At 38.7% G+C, this 23,880-nt stretch overlaps 1 annotated feature.

Annotated features, from left to right (window-relative positions):
• Positions 2,863-2,912: an enhancer, noted in NCBI's record as "active region_26549". NCBI's record gives its function as "activates an Ori minimal core promoter by ATAC-STARR-seq in GM12878 lymphoblastoid cells {active_cell/tissue: GM12878}" and the evidence as "EXISTENCE:reporter gene assay evidence [ECO:0000049][PMID:35858748]".

Raw genomic sequence — 23,880 nt, 5'->3', positions numbered from 1 at the left:
ACAATGTTTTACAGAAAATCTCCAGAATTTAATAATCTTGGATAACTGACACTTTATACTCACCAAATAGTAACTCCACAGTTCTTCTTTCCCCAAGTCCCTGGTAACCACCATTCTACCCTCTTCTGAGTGTTTGACTATTTTATACACCTCACATAAGTAATATCATGCACTGTTTGTCCTTTGAACGGCTATTTCATGTAGTATAAGGTTCTCCAGGTTCATCCATGTTACACATGGCAAGATTTCCTTTTTTTAAAGACTGATTAATATTCCATTGTATGAATGTGCCATATTGTTTGTACCTATTCACCTGTTGATGGACAATTAGATCTTGACTATAGTGAATAGTGCTATAATGAACACCAGAGTGCAGGTACCTCATTGAGACATTGGTTTTAATCCTTTTAGATATGTGCCACTGGATCATATGGTGTTGCTAGGAAACTCCTTAGTGTCTCCATAAGTTTTGCACAGCAGTAGCATCATTTTGTATTCCCACTCACAGTTTGTAAGGGTTCCAATTTTACCACATCGTCACCAGCAGTTGTTATCCTGTATACTCATACAGGCATGTGCACACACACACACACACACACACACACACACACACAGATATAATATACATAGCTCTTATAATATATATATAGCTTATTAAATATATAGCTTGTATTTTATACATTTATATAATATATATATAAAATAGTCATCTTAACAGGTGTAAGGTGATATCTCATTGTGGTTTTGGTTTGCATTTTCCTAGTGATTAGTGATGTTGAGTATCTTTTTATGTACTCGTTGGCTATTTGTATATTATCTTTGTAAAAAATGTCTCTTCAAGTTCTTTGCCGTTTTAAAATTAGGTTATTTGTTTCATTGACTGTTTCTATTTACTTCTTTATTTATTATTTTTGTTATTTGAGTTGTAGGAGTTTCTTCTTTATTTTGGAGATTAATTCCTTATCAAATATATGGTTTGCAAATATTTTCTCCAATTTTGTAGGTTGTCTTTTCATTCCATAATTGTTTCTTTTCTATGCAGAGGTTTTTTTTTAAGTTTGATTAGGACAGAAATAAACAAAATGAAGAATAAAAAATAGAAAATAATCAAAGAAACAAAATATAAAATTGAAATATAATAAATTGATAAGTAATGAGCTAGATTAAGTAAAAAAGAGAAAACTCGAATAAATAAAATAGGAAGTGAAAGAGAAAACATTGCCACTCATCCACAGAATTGAAAAAGAATCCTACAAGGCTACTATGAACAATTATATGGCAAAAAATTAGATAATCTAGATGAAATAACTTCTTAGAAACACACAACCTTCCAAGATGAAATTATAAAGAAATAGAAAATCTGACTGTACCCATAACTAGCAAGAATATTAAATGAGTAATTGAAAACCTCCCAACAAAGGAAAGTCCAGGGCCAGTTGCCTTCACTGGTGATGAACATTTAAAGAAGTAATGCCAATCCTTCTTAATTTCTTCCCCCCAAAATTAGGTGAATAGGACACTTTCACATTCATTTTATGAGTAGCATGCTGCAGTTTATTCTTTATAGAGAATTTACATTGACCATTTCTGATGTAATGTGATGACCATCTCATCACATTCTTATATCCCAAATCCCCCAAGGCTTTTAATGACATTTGGAATAATGTTCCAACCCTTCACCTTAGCTTGAATGAATCTACATGATTTCAATCCTGATTATTTCTCTGAAATCAGTCCCTGCTTCTGTGCCAGGCTTAGAATACAATGGACTTCTTGCTCTTTATCAAATATGACAATTATTAATTCATTTCAAGAACTTTGCTCTTAATGTTTCCTTCACTTGTGTGTTCTTCATCCAGACATTTCTATGGTTTGTTCTCAAATTTTGTTCAAATTTTTGTTTAAATGTCACCTTCTAGCTCCTCTATCTTAAACGGTAGTTATGGTGGCTCTCTCTCCTTATCTTACTCAATTTTTCTTCATAGCATATGTCATTACTTGCCATTTTGTTATGCATTTATTTGTTTGATTTACTCATTATCTCTTTTGTGCAATTGAATGTAAACTCCATTAGATCAGAATCTTGTCTATTTTGTTCATTTTGTACATCCAATGCCTAAAGCACACAATAACACTCAATAAATATCCCATTAAGTAATACTGAATAAATGTATCTTTGTATAGTACAATATTATTGTCAGATTATTTTAAATGATTTAAAGTACAGTAATTAGGGCTTAGTTTATCCAAATACACCAGGATCTTTGAAGAGGAGGAAATTTTTATTTTATATCCCATAGTATCATGACAATATACTTATGATTCAGTCTATATCTCTTGCATTGGATGTGGCTTTGATCTATTAATAGTAATATCTGCTTTCAATATCTTCTCTTGGACTATTACTTAACTAATCTTGGTATTCTATTTTCAATGACAAAATATAAATTTCCCAGACTTTGTTGTGGAAAATAATACATTTCCAGGTGTCAGGAAAGTCCTGGAGAGAAGTAAAAGACAAATCCAATGACTGCTATAGAACTTCAATGCTTCATTTGCAATCATAACTTTCCCTAGGATTCCACACTTGACTCACAAGCAAGGACATTTTCATACACATAACAAATATAAGCTAGTTGTACAAAGAGACTAGAAAATTGTTTTTGTGAATTAGGTGCTTGAACAAATCTTAACCACTTTATTTTTAACCATTTATTGCTCTATGAAACTGACACCCCAGCCTAGAAAGGGGAACTGGGAGTGGAGAAGTGTGTGAATGCATGTGAAAGAGGCAGTTCCAGAAGGAACCAAAGCAGGGAGTGAAGTGTGGGGGCCACAGGCCTCTTAGCGTATACCATACACTCCGAGCGAAGTGTGGGATCAACCGGGACTAATGGCGAATGCCTTCCAGGGCTACTGCATATGGCTTAGGGAGGCACCTCACAATTTAGTGATCGTGGTGGCCCGGGTTTGGGGCTCATGCAAACCCTCCATTAAAGCTAAGTGGTGTCTGAAAACTCCCGCGGAGGAGGTGGACTAATTGGTCTGAAGCAAAAGTGAGAGTGAATGTGTTGTGCTGTAACAGGGAGGACATGGGAGGGAAGTCATCAAAACCCATCCCATTAGAATGTATGTTAAAGAACTTTATGAAAGGTTAAAGGCGGGATTATGGGATCAAGTTGATCCCCCAGAGGTTGAGAACTCTCTGTGAAATAGAATGGCCCTCTTTTCGTATTGAATGGCCGGCCAAAGGAACAATAGATAGGGAAACAATTGATCATGTATTTAAGGTGGTGACTTGGGTCGGGGTACAGCCAGAGCACCCAGACCAATTTCCTTATATTGACTCATGGCTAAATATAGTCCAAACTCAGCCTGTGTGGCTGTAGCCCTGCTTAGCAGCTTATTGCAAAACACTCATGTCCTGAGCTGAGCCTACAGTGAAAGAAAAATCAGCTTCGCTGTCAGCCACCAAAACAAAGGGAAAGCCACAGGAAAAACCACTTTTGCAGGAACTGCCAGAAGAGATAGAAATTCTTCCTCCATATATCTCAATCTACCCCCCTTTACTGAGGCCAATGGCCCCCAAGGAGTCAGATTCAGATGGTGACATGCCCTGAGTCCCACCCCAAAAGGAAAGATTGGAGCCCCAAGAGGTTAAGAGGGAAAGTCAAGATGATCAAGCGGGCTGCCTCTAAACTGGTCATGCCCAGGCTATGCAAATGCCTCTCAGGGAGGTGCAGGGACCCATGTATTATGATGAACAGGGTCAAGTCCAAGGGGGGCAATGGACCTTCTTCTACCAGCCTTTTCTGACCACTGATCTCCTAAACTGGAAACATTATATTCCCTCCTACATGGAGAAGCCCCAGGCCCTCATAGATCTAATGCAGTCCATCTTCCTGACACACAATCCAACTTGGCCAGGTTGCAAGCAGCTCCTCCTGACACTGTTTAATACTGAGGAGCACCAAAGGGTTACCCAGGCAGAAACCAGTGGGTTACCTCCACTGGCTAGAAACCAATGCACCAGAAGGCACATTTAATGTCCAGACATATGCTCAAGGTCAGTTCCCAGAAACAGATCCTCACTGGGACCCGAATAATGCAACCCAGTTTCAGCACCTGCAGAGGTACTGAGAAGCACTGCTGCAAGGGCTGAGGGAAGGTGGAAAAAAGTCAATCAATATAGGAAAGATCTCAGAAGTGCTTCAGGGAATCTATGTGAGCCCTAGCCAGTTTTATGAGAGACTCTGAGGCGTTCCAACCTTACACTCCGTTTGAGCCTTAGGCCGCTGAAAATCAGTGCATGGTGAATATGGCATTTGTAGGACAAGCCCAGGGGGACATCAGGTGGAAGCTGCAAAAGCTAGAGGATTTTGCAGGTATGATTGCCACCCAGCTTTTAGAAGTGGCCTCCAAGGTGTACGTTAACCACAACCAGGAGGCTAAAAGGGAGGCTGAGCGGAGGCTCAGGAAAAAGGCTGATCTGCTAGTGGCAGCCCTCACAGAAAGGGAAACTAGCATCACAAGGGATGCAGATGCAGATGCCGATGCAGAAAGGGCCAGGTTGGACAGAGACCTGAAAGTCACTCAAGGCTAGGTAGGGATCAACGTGCACAAGGCAAAAAGAAGGGACACTGGAAAAACTAGTGTCCACAGAGCAGTGAAGAAAATGGCCAGGGCTGTGAAATGAAAAGGCCACCAGTCAAAGTCTTGCTGCACCCTGAGGGAGTCAGACACTGACTTTATTGGGCTGGTGGAGACTGAAGAATATGAAGACTAGGCCAGACTAGGCTCCATCTCCTTAGGCCCCCAGGAGCCCATGGTCACAGTGGAAATAGGGGACCAACTAATGGACTTTATGGTAGACACCAGGGCTGAACACTCGGTAGTAACCTGGCCCATAGGGCCACTATCCAAAAAACATATGACTGTTGTTGGGGCCACTGGGGTCCCAGAGAAGAGGCCATTTTGTCAGCCAAGGAGGTGTGTCATAGGAGGACAAAAAATCCAGCATGAGTTCCAAACCTCCCAAATTGCCCAGTCCCCCTGCTGGGAAGAGACCTACTCCAAAAACTGCAAGCGCTGATTGCTTTTGGGCCACAAGGGGATATGACTTTAAAACTGACTTACCCAAAGGCCATGGTATTAACTCTTACCATCCCACAGACTGAGGAATGGAGACTATACACAAAAGAGTCACCAGAACTGGGAATAAATGAACTGCATGAGCTATTTTATAGGATTCCTGGAGTATAGGCTGAAGATAACCCACCTGGGCTGCCTGAAAATCAAGCGTCAGTGGTAGTAGAGTTAAAACCAGGGGCAACTCCAGTTCCGCTTCACCAATACCCACTTTTCCAAGAAGACATATGGGACATTCACAAACACTTAGAATGGCTCTTCAAACATGGAATCTTAGTCAAATGCCAGTCACCCTGGAACACTCCACTCTTGCTGGTACAGAAACCATCTGGTGAATATAGACCGGTGCAGGACTTACGCGCTATAACCAGGCTACTGTAACCATCTACCCAGTGGTACCAAACTCATATACTTTAATGGGATTTATTCCAGCAAGTGCTACCTGGTTTACTTACTTAGATCTGAAAGATGCATTTTTCTGTCTTCACCTAGCACCAGTTAGCCCATCTTTTCATTTCACTGGGTGATTCACAGTTCACCTAGACAAGACTCCCACGAGGGTTCAAAAACTCTCTCACAATCTTTGAAGAAGCACTGGCTTCAGACCTCAAGGCCTACACCCTGCCAAATTATAACTGTGCCTTGCTGGAATATATAGATGACCTTCTTCTGGCAGTCCCAACCCAAAAGGACTGCTTCCAAGGAACCCAAGACCTACTGTACCTTCTGTGGAAAGCTGGATATAAGGTGTTCAGGAAAAAGGCTCAAATCTAAGAAAAGTCCAGTATTTAGGCTTCATAGTAAGCCAAAGAGAACGCTGGCTCAGCCTTGAACAAAAGCAGGCTGTTTGTGTGCTTCCAACTCCAACCACCTGGTGTCAAATAAGAATTCTTGGGAGCAGCAGGGTTCTGCTGTATCTGGATCCCAAATTTTGCAGTAATGGCCAAGCCCTTACCTGAAGCCACAAAGCAGGGGGAAAGGGAGCCCCTCCTCTGGGAGGCTGACCAGGAGAGGACATTCAAGCAAATCAAGGAAGGCTTAACTCAGTCCCCAGCCTTAGGACTGCCAGATATAACTAAGCCTTTTTTTTCTATATATCCGTGAATGAAAAGGAATGGCTATACGGGTCCTGACTCAAGTCATGGGATCATGGCATCGCCAGTGGCATACTCATCCAAGCAGCTAGACACCATAGCACTAGGGTGGCCTCCTTGCCTCAGGGCACTAACTGACTTTGCCCTATTGGCACAAGAAGCTGACGAACTGACTGTAGGGCAACAACTGACCATCTGGGTACCGCACTTGGTTATAACATTAATGGACCAGAGAGGGCATCATTGGTTATCAAATCCAAGGATGACCCAGTAACAGGGTCTCCTATGTGAAAATCCTTATATAACTCTGGAAACGGTAAATACCCTTAACCCAGCCACCTTGCTCCTGATAGAGTTGGGAGCCCCCCTTCATGACTGTGTGGAAACAGTAGACAAGGTGTTCTCAAGCCAGGGAGACCTTACAGACCAAACCCTCAGAGAACCAGGTGTTGAATACTTCACAGATGGGAGCTGTTTTATACTGGGTGGGGTCCGCTGAGCTGGGTATATGGTGGTAACATTGGACTCAGTAGTGGAGGTTCAGCCTCTGCCTACAGAGGCAGAGCTAATAGCCCTGACATGAGCTCTTTTGCTGGCAAAAGACAAAAAGATCAATGTTTATACAGACTCCAAATATGCTTTTGCCATGTTGCATGTTCTTGGGGCTATATATAAAGAAAGAGGACCCTTAACTGCTAGGGACAAAGAAATAAAACACAAAGAAGAAATTCTGCAGCTCTTAGACGCTGTATGGGCCCCAGAGAAAGTGGCCATTATGCACTGCAGGAGTCACCAAAAGGCAGGAAAACTAGAGACTATGGGAAACAGAAAGGCAGACAGGGAGGCCAAATGGGCAACAATGACTACACTGCATTTTAAGAAAGAAACCCTAGATATGCCTCTCCTCCCAGATCCCTCCCTCCCAGAGGTCTCAAGTTATTCTTCAAATGAGAAGGCCTGGTTTGCCTGAGAATCTGGAAAGTACATTGAAGGAGAATGGTGGAAATTCTCCAATGGGGGACTAGCTATCCCTGAAATGGGAGTTTCAAGTTTGTAAGACAATTCCATTAAGGAACTCATATGGGGAAAATGGCACTAGAAATGCTACTATGTGCCATGGCTCACTGCCATCACCCAAGACATTTGTAAACAATGTCTAACTTGTGCCCAGAACAACCCAAGACAAGGGCCCACTTGGCCCCCCGGGAATTCAGGAAATGGGGGCCACACCCTGTGAAAACCTACTTGCAGATTTCACAAGATGCCCCAAATGAGGGGCTACCAGTACATGCTGGTGCTCGTCTGCAACTTCTCGGGATGGGTCGAAGCTTTCCCCACTAGAACAGAGAGAGCATGAGAAGTGACTAAAGTATTGTTAAGATACATTATCCCCAGATTTGGACTGCCCCTAACTCTAGGGTCAGACAATGGTCTGGCATTTGTAGCTGAAATAGTTCAAGAACTAACACGGCTGTTAAAAATAAAATGAAAATTACACAGCCTACCGGCTGCAGAGCTCAGGAAAGGTGAAGCACATGAACTGGACACTCAAACAGCTACTGAAAAAATATTGTCAAGAAACTCATCTAAGATGGGATCAGATCCTGCCCATGGTCCTCCTCTGAGTCTGATGCACCCCCAACAAACAAACTGGGTATTCTACCTAAGAGACCTTGTTCAGCCAGCCACCCCCTATCATAGGTCAAATTAAGGGTGATCTCTGTGAACTAGGGAAATTGACCTTAAGGAGACAAATGCAGGCTTTAGGGATAGTCATGCAAGAAATCCATGGCTGAGTACGGGAAAGAATGCCCATAAGCCTAACAGAACCAGCGAACCCATTTAAACCTGGAGACTGTTTGGGTTAAGCAATGGAATCCAACCACTTTGGGACCCATATGGGATGGGCTCCATACTATAATCTTGTCCACTCCCACTGCTGTTAAAGTTGCAGGAATTGTGCCTTGGATTTACCACAGTTGACTGAAACCGGAAGCTCGAGACAAATGGACCAGCCATTGGGACCCAAACCATCCCCCAGGTTGATCCTGTGTTGAGACTGAGTCGCCAGTGGAGACAACAACAGCCCTGCTCTAGTCACCCTGGAAGCTGACTAGTCTATGCATGGCCAAAGCTTGAGTCATCATCAGGGAAGTAAATGTGGCTAGAAATATTGAGCCTAGTAATTTTCCTTGTAACACTAGTTGTTTTACTATTGTCCTGTTGCTTTGCTCAACCCCCTCCTCTGGGTAAACACCTCTTTTGTGCCTGCTGGGTATGAGTATGCTACTCTTTACCTTATTATTGCTGGTCCCCTTATCTATGTTAAACGGAGAACTCTAAGAGGTATGCACTCATACTACATGGTCAGGAAGCACTATAAACCAGAACTCTATTATACCATACTTATTGTGAGTGTATTGGAACCCACCTAGGAAATTGTACTCACAACCAGACCACCTACTCAATTTGTGACCCAGGAAATAACCAGCCTTATGTGTGTTATGACCCTAGATTCTTACCTGGGACGTGGTTCGAAATCTGTGACGGGTCAGAAGAGGGAGCCCTTTTAAACGAAAACAAGGTACCCCCCTTTCCACAAAGGAACCATATCCTTGTACTTAAATATTTGCCAGGCAACGTTCAGAGACTCAACCTTTCCTGTAGGAACTTGTTGTAAAAGTGTTAGAACTCCCCCGGCTTGCTCCACCTGGGACTGCGCAACATGGGCTACTAAATAAAGGCAGGTCATGTTTACCCAAATACCAGCAGACCCAGACTGTAAAGCAAATGCTTGCAGTCTTGTAAATTTCACCATCTTAAAGCCAAACATACAGATACAGACTACAGGAATAGAAGCACCAATAGGATACTCCTATTTAACCAAAAATCAAGAGGGAAAAACTGTCTTTAAAAATGTTATTTTTACATATCATGAAGAAAATCCAGACCTGTTCAACAATTCAGAGTTTTCAAGTCATTCTATGAGCATATCAACCAGAAGTTTCCTGAGCCCCCTCCTTTGGCCGGAAATCTGTTTGCCCAACTAGCTGAAAACACAGCTAGCAGTTTACAGGACTCCTCATGCTATGTTTGCGTAAGAACCAACATGGGGGATCAATGGCCATGGAAAGCAAGACAGCTAATGCCCCAAGATAACTTCACTCTGTCTCCTCTCCTGAACCAACGCGCACGAGCTCGAGTGTCTGGCTCTTAAAAACCTCTATTATCAGAAGATTCTGCATTGCTCACTGGGGAAAACCCTTTACAGACCCAGCAGGAGAATTAACTTGCCTAGGACACCAATATTACAATGAAATGCTAGGAAAAACTTCATGGCAGGGCAAAAATAATTCCACATCACCTCATCCCAGCCCCTTCTCCTGTTTCCCTTCTTTAAACCACTCTTGGTACCAACTTGAAGCTCCAAATACCTGGCAGGCACCCTCTGGCCTCTACTGGATCTATGGGCCAAGCGAATATCAGCAACTGCCAGCAAAATGGACAGTGGTTTGTGTACTAAGGACAATTAGACTGTCCTTCTTTCCAATCCCTCTAAAGCAAGGAGGAGCCTTAGGGTACCCTGTCTACGATGAAACTAAAAAGAGAGATAAAAGGAGTAAAACCACAGGGAATTGGAAGGATGACAAATGGCCCCCTGAAAGAATAATCCAATATTATGGACCAGCCACTTGGGGGGAAGATGGAATGTATGGCCGCACCCCTATTTACATGTTCAACCACATCATAGAGTTACAGGCAGTGCTTGAAATCATTACTAATGACACTGCAAGGACCTTAAATCTAATCGTCCAGCAAGCCACAAAAATGAGAAATGCTATTTATCAAAATAGACTGGCCTTAGATTACCTCCTAGCCCAGAAGGGAGGGGTATGCAGGAAGTTCAATCTAACTAATTGCTGCCTAGAAATTTATGACAATGGGAAGTCATCGAAGATATAACTGCCAAAATCCAAAAATTAGCCCATGTTCGAGTCCAGACTTGGAAAGGATGGTCTCCTGATTCTCTCTTTTGAGGCTGGTTCTCATCCCTTGGAGGATTTAAAACTCTAATAAGAATAGTTCTGGCCATACTAGGAAGTTGCTTAATACTCCCTTGCCTCTTACCCCTCCTTGTTAAACACATTCAATCGACCACAGAGGCTTGTGTAACCAGGCAAACTACCACTCAACTAATGGCTCTAACTAAATATCAACCTTTGCCAAATGAAGAAAATCTACCATTACATGAAGAATTAATTAATAGTGATGCTTTCTATTAAACCTCATTTGTAAAAAGCATCAAAGCGGGGAATGAAGCAGAAGTTAAAAGAGAAAAACAAGTTTTTCCTGTACTTGGCTGAATCACTCCAAGGCCAGCAATAGGCAGGGCCCTGGCCGAGACATGATAACGCTATCCAGGAAGACAGAGTCCACAGGAATGAGTCCCAGAGACTTTCCTAACACGCCATCAGAGCAAGGACAAGAAAAACAAATTCCTTTACTATCTCCTCATCCCTCTACTGTTTCTCAATTTCCCAAGTTTTGTAAATTCCTGTTTTTCCTTCAATGCAGCTGCAAGGTCACAAGCTATGCTTGGGTTACGAAACCCGTCACAGTCTGATTAATTGACTTTGTTCTGCTTCTGTAAGCTTGCTTGCCTGCCCCACGAGTTTTGCACCATTAAGTTCCCACCGCGCCATTCAAACCAGCCAACCCCCTTTCAGAAGTGTGTATAAAAGTCAAGTGTATCTTTGTTCAGGGCTCAGCCTTTGGATGTTAATCTGCTGGGCCAGTGACCACTTAATAAAATATTCCTGTTTCACCCATTGGTCTCTACGTTTCTCTGATTCCCGCAACAACATCTATATATACATACAACTACATACAACTGTTTTATATATATACACACATTATATATACACACACAACTGTTATATATACTTCGAGACATAAATATGCATACATACATAGCCACACATTTATCTGCCATTTCCTCTCTTTACTTATTTTACCTTAGATTGTTTTTTCCATACCTGCACACATAAATCTACTTTAGTCCTACTAATTAGTAAATAACAACGTATTGCATGGGATTGTCTTAATGTATTCAGCAAGTCTATTGATTTTAGGTTGTTTCCAATGTCGCTACTGAAAACAATCCAACAGCAAGTATTTATATATAAGTCTTCTTCTGCATATGGGTCAGTATAAACTTTAGCATACTTATTAGTAATTCACTGCTTACAAATTCATAAGAACTTCTGCATATATGTTTCTAATCTTTAGCTTTTAAAAAATCAGTTATTTCCTAATGTCTTTTAAGAGATGTAATTATTTGATTGCTTTCAACTTATAAAAGAGAAGGCTTTAAACTTCTTGTTAATACTCACACTTAACCTTGAGTGGACATCACTCTACTTCTATTTATTGCACTGAAACAAGAGGAAATTTTAGATAACAATGTCATGTCTATATCGTGACTGTTCTTTTTTTACAGTTGTAACAGAGTTCTTTATAAGAGCATACAATGATCTGTTTTCAAGGATAAAGCTGTTCTTTTCTGAGAATAAACTCCCAGATTTCAATGTAAATATTATTATATAAGAGAATGGGAAATATGTTTTTAGAATTTTTTTTATAGTTCTGGAGAACTGTCATTCAAATTCCCCTGAGTCATTCCAAAACTTGCTGAATTTATGATCTGAGGAGTTCTTCAAATTTCAGCATTTCTTACCAGATTCTTTTTACTGTAAGTATAAGATCAACTGAGACTTTTGTCTGTCTTCTACTCCTGGGTTCTTGCTCTTTGATTTTGTATCCCCTAGGGGACTAATTTCCTCTTCTTTACACTGAGATTATGCTCCTTTGCTGCCCTTAATCTACCCTGTTTGCACTTTCTTCTTCCTTTAAAAAATATCTACTCTTTTTGGTAATGATTTTATAATATAATTTTTATTTTGTGGAATTTTTTGATGTTACCAGGGACTTACTATGTGCCAGAGACTTATGATAAATAGCAGAGTGATTTGTTCCTATATTAATTTAGGTAGGAGAAAATGTAGACTTAGTGAAGTTGAAGATCTTTGTCCAGTGTCCACATGGCCTCTCTTTTAACCACAAATCTCAACCCACTGATGACCAAGTGCCATGCATTAACAATGAGTGATAAGAGAGAAGACTGCTGGGTTCAATTCCAGAGGTTGTTAGAGGCAAACCTCTCACTTTATTTCTCAAAGTTGTACTACATAGATGACTACAACATTTCATAAAGATTTTCTGTTTGGGGAGCCAGGAACCCCTCTTGGTTTTCAAGCCCAGATGGCCATAGTAAATTGTCTATGATTCACAGCAAAGAAACTAATCCTGTATATAGAACCTACACAGGAACAAGATGTGCTCCACTTGTTAGTCTCCATTCTGACTTGATGAGTTAGCTTTTGGAAAAATGTAATTTATGAAGTAGATATATTTCATGAACTAAAATAACTATGTGTTAGGTATGGTATGCAAATTAAGCATATATATCCATATATATCCTATATAAATATGGAGTGATATGTAGATATAAACATAAGCATAGACACGCACAAAAAAGACATAGTACGGAACAGTGGTTGAAAGCTTGGCTTCTGAGTCAGACTGCATTCTGTGACAATTTTCTTCACTTACAAATTAATTTTATTTTCATCTTCAGTGCATTTAAAGGCAGAACAAAACAACCCTGCTCCCCATTCCCCTGCAAAAAAGAAAAAAAAAAGGAAAAGAAAAAAGAAAAAAAATCTTTGTTTTTGTTTTTGAGATGGGAGTCTCACTCTGTCACTCAGGCTGGAGTGCAGTGGCCTGATCTTAGCTCACTGCAACCTCTGTCTCCCATGTTTAAGCAATTCTCTGTCTCAGCCTCCTGAGTACCTGAGATTACAGGCACCTGCCACCATGCCTGACTACTTTTTGTATTTTTAGTAGAGATGGGGTTTCACCATCTTGGCCAGGCTGGTCTTGAATTCCTGACCTCATGATCCACCCACCTTGGCCCACCAAAGTGCTGGGATTACAGGCAAGAGCCACGGTGCCCATCAGAAAAAAAAAAAAAAAAAAAAAATATATATATATATATATGTATATATGTATACATATATGTGTGTATATATATGTATATTTGAAGCCTAATAGTGTGCATTCAAATCAGAGCCCTATTACATATTAGGAATATCATCTTCTATTGCATTTATTTGTTCCTCACTTCTTAATCTGTAAAGTGGGAATAAAATTCCATTTAACTCAGATACTTGTGAGGAATGAATAAGAGTGTAACTCAGAACATTACCTGGTATGTATAAGAACTGAATAACTGTAGAAGTGTTAGATATTCTTGTTCAGTCTGTTCAGAAACCTAGAAACAGAAAGGGTTCTATTTATTGAGGACTTTTTGGGATCAGCATCTGGTTCATAAAAGCACGGCTTACTAATTCAGTATAGGTGCTTTCTCTCAGCTTGAATATGAATGAACATACGAAGGCTTAAACTAAAGTCCTTTGACAATGTTAACTCCAGAATTCCAATAGCAAATGAGACAACTACTTACAAAACAAAAACAAAATAAAAAAGAAAGATATGTGATTTAAATATAGTTATCAGTTGAAAACAAAGAATAAACATCAGCAGAAATAGGCTACATGAATGAAAAACTAAGTAAGGCACTGTTTCTGCAAGGTAGTGAAGATCAACCTAAAGTCAAATGAAGTTTTATGTGTTTGTTCAATGTCATCAATACTCTACCCTCTTAAATGTTATATCCCGCAGAAGCAGTAATAAGAGTTCCAAGTGGAACCCACTGAGTAGTTATTGCTGGAAATAAATTTAATCTGATAAGAATGTGATAATCAGAAATGTCCTCATAGCTTATCTGATATTGACTAAGTGATCACCATGGGGCTCCAGTTAACTATCACTGATTGGAATTCATAGTAAGCCCCAATAAATCTTTGACTATTTCCAGCAGTGTAATCAAGATAATTTTTTTAAATTTACATATTTATAGCTTGAAAATTGTAAGGACATTATATACTTTTACAAAGAAATGACACATCTAATACCTGTAATTAAATACTTTTAGCATTTTCTCATCATTAAAATTTTAAAAATATAACTTCTGGAAATTTATCATTCCAGGTAAAATTCTTGTTCTAAAATAATTAAATTTTGGAATAGCTTTGATGTTAGCTATTTTATATTTTACCATTTTAAAACGAAAACAATTTAAGCAAACTAGCAGCAGATCAATGTATTTTCATTGTAAAAAAGCAAATAGTCGAAAACTAAACAAGTATACATGATGCAAGGAAAAGCCCTACTTTAATTATCTAATCTTATACCAATTGGTAACAATAATAAAAAATTTGATATGAGTATGTCTATGCATTTGTATGTGTACATACATAGACACAAACATATATAATTTTTTGTAACATGTGGGATGAAATATATTAATACTTATGCATAATTTTCAAATCACTTTTTGTTTTTGCTTTTTTAAACTCTGTCCTCCTAGAACATTATTTTAGAACTCTTAGCTTTTGGAAAGACTTAATGATTTTGTAATTTTTACAAATGAATGCATCACACATGGTTTAACCATTCCCTAATCAGTGGATATTTATATTATGAGTAAAATGTAGCCATTATAAACAGTGTTTCAGTGAACATTCACACACCCACATAAATAGGTTAAATATTTCTGTAAAAATCAACTTAGATAAAATATCACTCTAATATCAATGTTAACTGAATATTAAGAATAATTTTTAAAAATAATCTAATAGGTGTATAGTTTTAATTTTTTTGGTTTGAATTGATTGTCACAAAAAAATTGCTGGTTTTCTTGAACATCTTTTTCTGTTTGTTGGCAAACTGTAGTTTGTTTCATAGTTTTTTAAATCAAGTATTTGTACCTTTCTTTTGTCCATTATTCTACTGATTAATTTACTCTATTTATTTTAGGAGGTTATTATATACTAAACTGTTGCCCTTTATATATGTTGTACATTTTTTCCCTAAAATATTGCTTGTCTATTAACTGTATTTATGACATTTTTAATATAAAAGATCTTTATTATTATGTAGGGTAATCTGTTGACTTTTTTTGTTGATAGCTTCTGAAATATTATTTGACTGGCTTTTCTAGCTAAAATCAAGTTGTGTGTCAGGAGCTCTGGATGAAATAATTCAACTCAGAGAGTGCTTTTATAAAGCAACTACAAATTAGTGAGTGGAATTATAATTTTTGTAACACTGATATTATATCAAAGGTATATCACACAACTAGGAAAAATATGTAGACTGGAAGGTGTGTTGTCACTGATCAGATATTGCCATTTGATGATATGTCTATGCAAATCTCACAACAGCTTGGCTCTGCTTAGCCATATTAGAATAATGATATGTTTTCTTTCATTTAAATGAATTAATGTTTGATATGTTAATTGCCAGAACTACAACAAAGCCACATTAAAAGAACATCTCAGTGTATTCTTTTTAGAGATAGCAACTTATAAAATATTGAATGGTAATAACCAGACAGAATTTATTCATATTTCTGTCTAATCTTTCATATGTTGTGCAAATTCTAAATCTATACATTATATAGAAAACAAAAATAAGTTCAGTGATGACAAATAAACATAAGGTGCTATCAATATATGTGTTCCTGTTCTTTAATTTAATATGTTGTTAATATTTACTTGGTGATAATCTTATGGGGGGTGGGGGGTGGGTCCTTGCTCCCAGAGCTCCCAAGATGGTGGCAGGCCACTTCCAAAATGGCAGCGGGCTGCTTCAAAGATGGTCGCAAGCCTTGTGTTCTCTGACCTGGGGTTCTTGGCCTCACGGATTCCAAAGAATGGAATCTTGGGCCATGCGGTGAGTGTTATAGCTCTATTAGAAGCCGTGGGTCACAGAAGAGAACCATGGAACCCAGTGACTAGTGTTCAGCTCAATTAGGGCAAACCCGGGCACTTAGCTGTGCAGGAACAATGGCGAGCCTTTAGCCAGATCAGGAGCAGCAATGGGCGCCTTGCTGGATCGGGAGCACAGCAGACACCCTGCCGGATCTGGAGGGATGGAAGGCAGTGGCGGGTCTCCGATGGCGGCAAACAGCAGTGGTGGATGGCAGTGAAAGCTCAGCTGGAGCCATAACAAACACGGACCAGAATGGACTGCAGTTGCAAGATTTAATAGAGTGAAAACAGAGCTCCCATACATACAAAGGGAGGGGATCCAAAGAGGGTAGCGTTGCCTGCTGGAATGCCTGGGTTTATATCCTGATCATTGGCCCTCACGCTGTGCTCTCAGGCAATAGATGATTGGCTATTTCTTTACCTCCTGTTTTTGCCTAATTAGCATTGTAGTGAGCTCTCTTTCCTACCTGATTGGTCGGGTATGAGGTAAGTTGCAAGCCCCCTGCTTAAAGGTGGATGCTGTCAACTTCCCGGCTAGGCTTAGGGATTCTTAGTCGGCCTAGGAAATCCAACTAGTCCTGTCTCTCAATAACAGGGAAGATATGAACTATATTCTTTGATAATTTGAAAATAGAGAAAACTGAGCTCAAATCCAGGTTATCTTATTCAAGATCTATATTTTTATTTGTTTTCTTTTGTTTTTCCATTGTGCAACAAAATAAGTCAAGTTAAAGGTCTTTTCATAAATTACTAAAATAATTTGATCATTGATTCAATCAAAGCAAAAAATCATGTCAAAGTTGAATAGTCAAGGAATTTTTCACTCAAGGCTATTTCAATAGGGGAGGGAGATGAGAACTAAGTCTGATCTCAACTCCGCTGAAGTAGAAGGCTATAGGGTTTTCAAAGGTTGGAAGGAGCTAGAAGAAATTTATTATAGGATATGATACAACATTGGCCATCTGTGTATACTAATTGGCTTCATACAAAGCAAAGTAAACTTCTCATAACTTTATGACAGAAGGTAGTTTTACAACTTTTAGCAAGACTTCTACGGAAGTTATGCTCTTCTTCTCCCATAAAAATTGGGGGATACGTACTATCTTCTTTCATGAGTACATTTCAAAGAGTGGTTCTCAGGTCTGTGAGAAAGATATTTCTGGGTTGTAAAACTGGCAAGAAGCTTTTAAAGAAAGATTTACATCTCAAAGAGGCAGAGAAAAAACTTACACTTGCAAGTTTCCTGAAGTAAATGCTATAAATAAAGGAAGGTCAGGAGCCTATAATCAAGAAAAAGACAAGTTTACTCAAGCTGAAGAGGAAATTTAAGGCCATTTTGATCAATTCCAATTGAACATCTAATAGTCAAAGCAGATCTTCCAAATGGAGCTCCCTGTAATCTCACATGAGATTTTCCAACCCCTTGTGAGAGTTTTTTAAATATCAGCTACATTTAGAGATGTTAAATGCACATTGAATTTCAGTAATTGAAAGAGTATAGAGTTTTTTTAGATTGAGTGAGTGTATTTGCTAGAATGTGTCTTTCACAGAGTGTGGAACTGAAAAGTTTTTTTAAAAAGGTAATGTATCCTAAATGAAGGTTCTTCAATTTTAAAACTGTGCAAGCTCTGCCATTTGTGTATACTTAAACAAAAGGTGGCTGTGGTATTGTACTTTTAATAATCTTATGCACTCAAGCCTATCTTTTTCCTTCACAATTGCTTTTCAGCCAAGTAAAATTCTTCGATTTTATTTTGAGCTTTTTTACTGCCACAGATGCTAAAATCTAACTTCCTGTACTTTTTCACTAGATTGAAATTTATATTGATGGTGTTGGAATGGTAATTTTTCATTGATTATGGATGATTTAATAAATAGTAAATTATTGAAATATATCCTCAATAGTAAATTTAGTATTCACTAGCAAATGTCTAAGAGATGCCATATCAAAAATAATGTGTTGGAAATGACACCTCTCCAGGGCATTGCTTAAAAATATACTGAAAAGTTCACAACATTCATTGCAGCAATTACCATAATGATTGTGCCTTTAAATGTGTCTTTACTTTTAAATCTTTGGGCAATTAGCTTTAACAATGCCAACATATTTTCAATTATCAAGCACCACCACATTTTTCTAAGCTATTATAAAATTCTAGTACCTTACAGTGAAAAATATATTAATACATTAAATTAGAAAGAAAGAACAATAAGTGGATATATTCATATCCTGTAATACAAAAGATAGAAATTGTCAAGGGGATGAAACAACTATTTTAATTTTACTTAATGTTTGTTTATAGCTATTTTAATTTCATGACATTATATGATGTCTATGGAAAAGTTTTAACGAGACGTGCTTCCAATATTAATGACAGGCAAAGAGCAAAATTGCTGTCTTATTTTATTAAGATGTCACTGTGTCACATTCTCTGTAACTGGAATATATTTTTCAAAGTTCTAGTTCTTACATAACAAAGTAAAACTTGTCTCCTTACTTCTGGCTTAGAGTTTACCTGCATGTAACTTGAATATATTTTTCAAAGTTGCAGTCCTTACATAACAAAGTAAAACTTGCCGCCTTACTTCTGACTTAGAGTTTACCTGCCTGAGTGAAATATTGGTCAGGGTGAGTTGGAGGCTGTGGTAGTTAAAAGAGCATGGTCTGATTATCAATTGAATGCATGATTTTGACTTTTTTGTATGTTATTGTATAACTCACTGAGCTAACTCAAACAACAAGAAAAGATATTTTGTCACTTCATAACTGGAGTATTGCAATTTAACTTAATTGCAAATAAATTAGCAACTGAGATAAACATACAGTAAACAGTAAGAATATCCCACATGTTAAGCAAAGTAAAAATAGGTATACGTAGAATATAAACAGAATATTGTTCTCTTATTTCATTGGGGGAACTGGCTCTTCATTCATTCTTTAAAACAAACATTTTCTATTTAATTCTAAGACTCATCTTTATCTCCTTTTTTAATATCTTGGCGATATTAATACCATATTTGACATAGGAAGAAGGACATAGCTGTCAACTGATATGTATATAATTATAATACAAGCAAGAACACAAAACTCCTATACTTTGTTGGCAACACTCTGGAGAAGTAAACAGATTTTTTTATAAAGGTTCAAAAAGAGAAATAAAATCAAATATAAGAAAAAAGTCACAATTCACAATGGCATCCAATATAGAGTAGATGGTAAGGAGGAAGTGAAGAGAAAGAGAAAGAAGGAGAGGGAACACACAAAATTAGGTGATTCAATTTTATATACATGCACTTTGTTTAAGTTATATGTGAGTAATTTTGAAGGGTCCACTTAAGTTTTGTTGCTATTTTAGAATTAACTTTAGTATACATAATGAGAATATGTGTTACTTTCCTGTAATTAACAGTATGTTGCAAAGTGATAGAAAACTTTGTTCATTAGCACAAAGCTCAATAATATAAAACAGCATCTGGCCAGTAGTTGCTAATGCAGTACCTCACAACTATACATAAATTAATGTGTTAAGCATAAAAAACAATAGAAATTCAAAATGCCCTCAAAATTGAGGACTTACAGTAAATCAAATATAAAACTTTGAATGAATTTCCAGTAGTTATAAATTTGATAGACAGTGCTTTTATAATTTTGAATTGCGATTTATAAATACAATGAGAGAATAAACAGACAAATCAATGGAAAGTACAGCAGACCCAACTTGATGATATATTGAAGTTCTTCGTGCCCTCAAAGGGCCCCTAAAGTCATCCCCACCCCTTCTCTGGTCTTATTCTCTGTATGACCTGTTCAATATTACTATTGATTAGAGTTTCCTATTGTAAGATTCAAGATGAATGAACTATATCTGTTTTTTTGATAAGCATGTTTTTGAGATTTTTTTCACGTTGATTCATAATAGGTATATTAGTCTGTTTTTATGCTGCTAATAAAGATACACCTGAGACTGGGAAGAAAAAGAGGTTTAATTAGACTTACAGTTCCACATCGCTGGGGAGGCCTCAGAATCATGGTGGGAGGCAAAAGACACTTCTCACATGGTGGGAGCAAGAGAGAAAAAGGAAGAAGTAAAAGTGGAAACCCCTGATATACCCATCAGATCTTGTGAGACTCATTCACTATGATGAGAACAGTACAGGAAAGACCAGTCCCCATGATTCAATTACCTCCTGCTGGTTCCCTCCCACAACATGTGGGAATTCTTGGAGATACAATTCGAGTTGAGAATGGGGTGGGGAAAGAGCCAAACCACATCGTTCCACCCCTGATCCCTCCAAATCACATGTCCTCACATGTCAAAACCAATTATGCTGTCCCAACAGTCCCCCAAAGTCTTAACTCATTTCAGCATTAACTCAAAAGTTCATGGTCCAAAGTCTCATCTGAGACAAGGCAAGTCTCTTCTGCCTGTGAGCCTGTAAAATCAAAAGCAAGCTAGTTACTTCCTAGATACAATGAGATTACAGGTATTGGGTAAATACAGCCATTCCAAATAGGAGAAATTCGCCAAAACAAAGGGGCTATAGGGCCCATGCAAGTCTGAAATCCAATGGGGTGGTCAAATTTTAAAGCTCCAAAATGATCTCCTTTGACTCCAGGTCTCAAATCCAGGTCACGGTGATGCAAGAGGTGGGTTCCCACAGTCTGGGGTAGGTCTGCCTCTGTGGCTTTGCAGAGTATAGCCTCCCTCTGGCCTTGAGTGTCTGTGGCTTTTCCAAGTGCACAGTGCATGCTGTTGGTGGATCTACCATTCTGGGGTCTGGAGGATGGTGACCCTCTTCTCACAGCTCCACTAGGCAGGGCCCCAGTAGGGACTCTGTGTAGGGGCTCCAACCCCCCATTTCCCTTCCACACTGCCCTAGCAGCGTTTCTCCATGAGGACCTCACCCCTGCAGCAAACTTTTTCTTGGGCATCCAGGTATTTCTATACATCGTCTGAAATCTAGGCCAAGGTTACCAAACCTAAATTCTTGACTTCTGTGCACCTGAGGCTCAGCACCACATGGAAGCTGCAAAGGCTTGGGGCTTCCACCCTCTGAAGCCACACCCTGAACTGTACATTGGCCCTTTTCGACTATGGCTGGAGCAGCTGGGATGCAGGGCATCAAGTCCCCAGGCTGCACACAGCATGGGGACCCTGAGCCTGGCCCACGAAACCACTTTTTCCTCCTGGGCCCTCAGGCCTTTGATGGGAGGGGCTGCTGTGAAGGTCTCTGACATGACCTGGAGGCATTTTACCCATGGTCTTGGGGATTAACATTAGGGTCCTTACTACTTATGCAAATTTCTGAAACAGGCTTGAATTTATCCTCAGAAAATGTGTTTTTCTTTTCTATTGAATAGTCAGGCTACAAATTTTCCAAACTTTTATGCTCTGCTTTTCTTATAAAACTGAATGCCTTTAACGGCACCCAGGTCACCTCTTGAATGCATTGCTGCTTAGAAATTTCTTCCACAAAATATCCTAAATTATCTTTCTCAAGTTCAAAGTTCTACAAATCATGAGGGCAGGTGCAAAATATCACCAGTCTCTTTGCTAAAACACAACAAGAGTCACCTTTACTCCAGTTCCCAACAACTTCCCCACCTTAATCTGAGACCACCACAGTCTGGACCTTATTGTCCATATTTCTATCAGCATTTTGATAGAAATGCTGATTCAACATTCAACAAGTCTTTAGGAGGTTCCAAACTTTCCCACATTTTCCTGTCTTCTTCTGAGCTCTCTAAACTGTTCCAACTTCAGCCTGTTTCCCAGTTCCAAATCCACTTCCACATTTTCTGGTATCTTCTCAGCAATGCCCCACTCTACTAGTACCAATTTACTGTATTAGCCTGTTTTCATGCTGCTGATAAAGACATACCTGAGACTGGGAAGAAAAAGAGTTTTAATTGGACTTGCAGTTCCACATGGCTGAGGAGGCCTCAGAATCATGGCATGAGGTAAAAGGCACTTCTTATATGGCAGCAGCAAGAGAAAATGAGGAAGAAGCAAAAGTGGAAAACCCTGATAAACCTGTCAGATCTCGTGAGACTCATTCACTATCACAATAACAGCACAGGAAAGACTGGCTTCCTTGATTCAACTACCTTCCCCTGGGTCCCTCCCACAACACGTGGGAATTCTGGGAGATACAACTGAAGTTCAGGTTTTGGTGCGGACACATCCAAACCATAACAATTGGGTAGTATTTTCCTGTTATTGCTTATTAGTATTCTATTCTTTGATTTGAATTTTTTAATTTTTTTCACACATTGCTGGACATTTGAACTGTTTTTAGTTGTCAGGTCCCATAAAAATGGTACTATACATTCTTATGAGTTTTTAGGTGGACAAGCTTTTATAAATACCTAGACTTGAAATCACTTATCATTTAATAAGTGTATGGTTTAATTTATTTAAAAAATCTGCTAGACTATTTTCTAGAATCATTATATCTTTGTGTATTTTCACAAACATTGTGTGAATTTTCTAGTTTTTTCACATCTCTGGCAATCCTTTAAATTTTTGGTCTTTTAATTTTAGCAATTCTCACTAATGTAAAGTAGTATCCTTTGTTCCATCATGTGTGTTAATCTGACTTTCCCTGATTATTAGTGATGGTAAGTGTCTTTTCATGTATTTACAGAATATTTGCCTATCTTCTTTTGTGAAATGACTTTTTAAATCTTTTCTCACTTTTAAGACTTGCTTGTTTATCTTATTATTGAGTTATAGATGCTCTATATATTTTAAACATGTCTCCTTGAAAGATGTGTTTCCATTGTCTTTTTACTTCTATAGAGTCTAGTTAAAAGTTAGTGTTTTTGCATGGTTGTTCCACTTCATGTAATACTTTTTAATACTAAAAAGTATTGATTACTGATGCAGGGATTTGTGATGCTTCATCCATTTACTAGTTGATAGACATCTGGGTTGTTTTTGATTTATGCCAATTATGAATAAAGCTGCTACGAATACTCATGGAGAAATCTCTATGTGAACATGACATACTTTCAAATTTTTCTTATAGTAGTGTTCTGGTTCTATGTAGTAAGTATCATGTTGGACTTATAAGAAAAGTACTACATTGGCAGTAACATTTTACATTCCCACCAGCAATGAAAGAGATTTTCAATTATTTCAAATTATTGCCAATACTTGGTGATATGGTTTGGCTGTGTCTATACCCAAATCTCATCTTGAATTGTAGCTCCCACAATTTCCATGTGATGTGGTTAGGCTCTGTGTCCCCACCCAAATCTCATCTTGTAGCTCCCATAATTCCCACCTGTTGTGGGAGGGACTTGGTGGTAGATGATTAAATCATGGGGGTGAGTCTTTCCCATGCTGCTCACATGATAGTGAATGGGTCTCACCATATCTGATGGTTTTAAAAACGGGAGTTTCTCTGCACAAGCCCTGTCTTTGCCTGCTGCCATCCACATTAGATGTGACTTGCTCCTCCTTGCCTTCTGCCATGATTGTGAGGCCTCCCCAGCCATATGGAACTGTAAGTCCATTAAACCTCTTTCTTTTGTAAATTGCCCAGTCTTGAGTATGTCTTTATCAGCAGTGTGAAAATGGACTAATGTGGTAAATTGGTACCAGTATAGTGGGGTGCTGCTGAAAATATACCCAAAAATGTGGAAGCAAATTTGGAACTGGGTAACAGGCAGAGGT

This window comes from Homo sapiens, chromosome 7 (genome assembly GCF_000001405.40).
Source record: "Homo sapiens chromosome 7, GRCh38.p14 Primary Assembly".
Lineage (NCBI taxonomy): Eukaryota > Metazoa > Chordata > Mammalia > Primates > Hominidae > Homo > Homo sapiens.
Note: the sequence above shows the minus strand (reverse complement) of the source record. Positions and strands in the feature narration are given on the sequence as shown.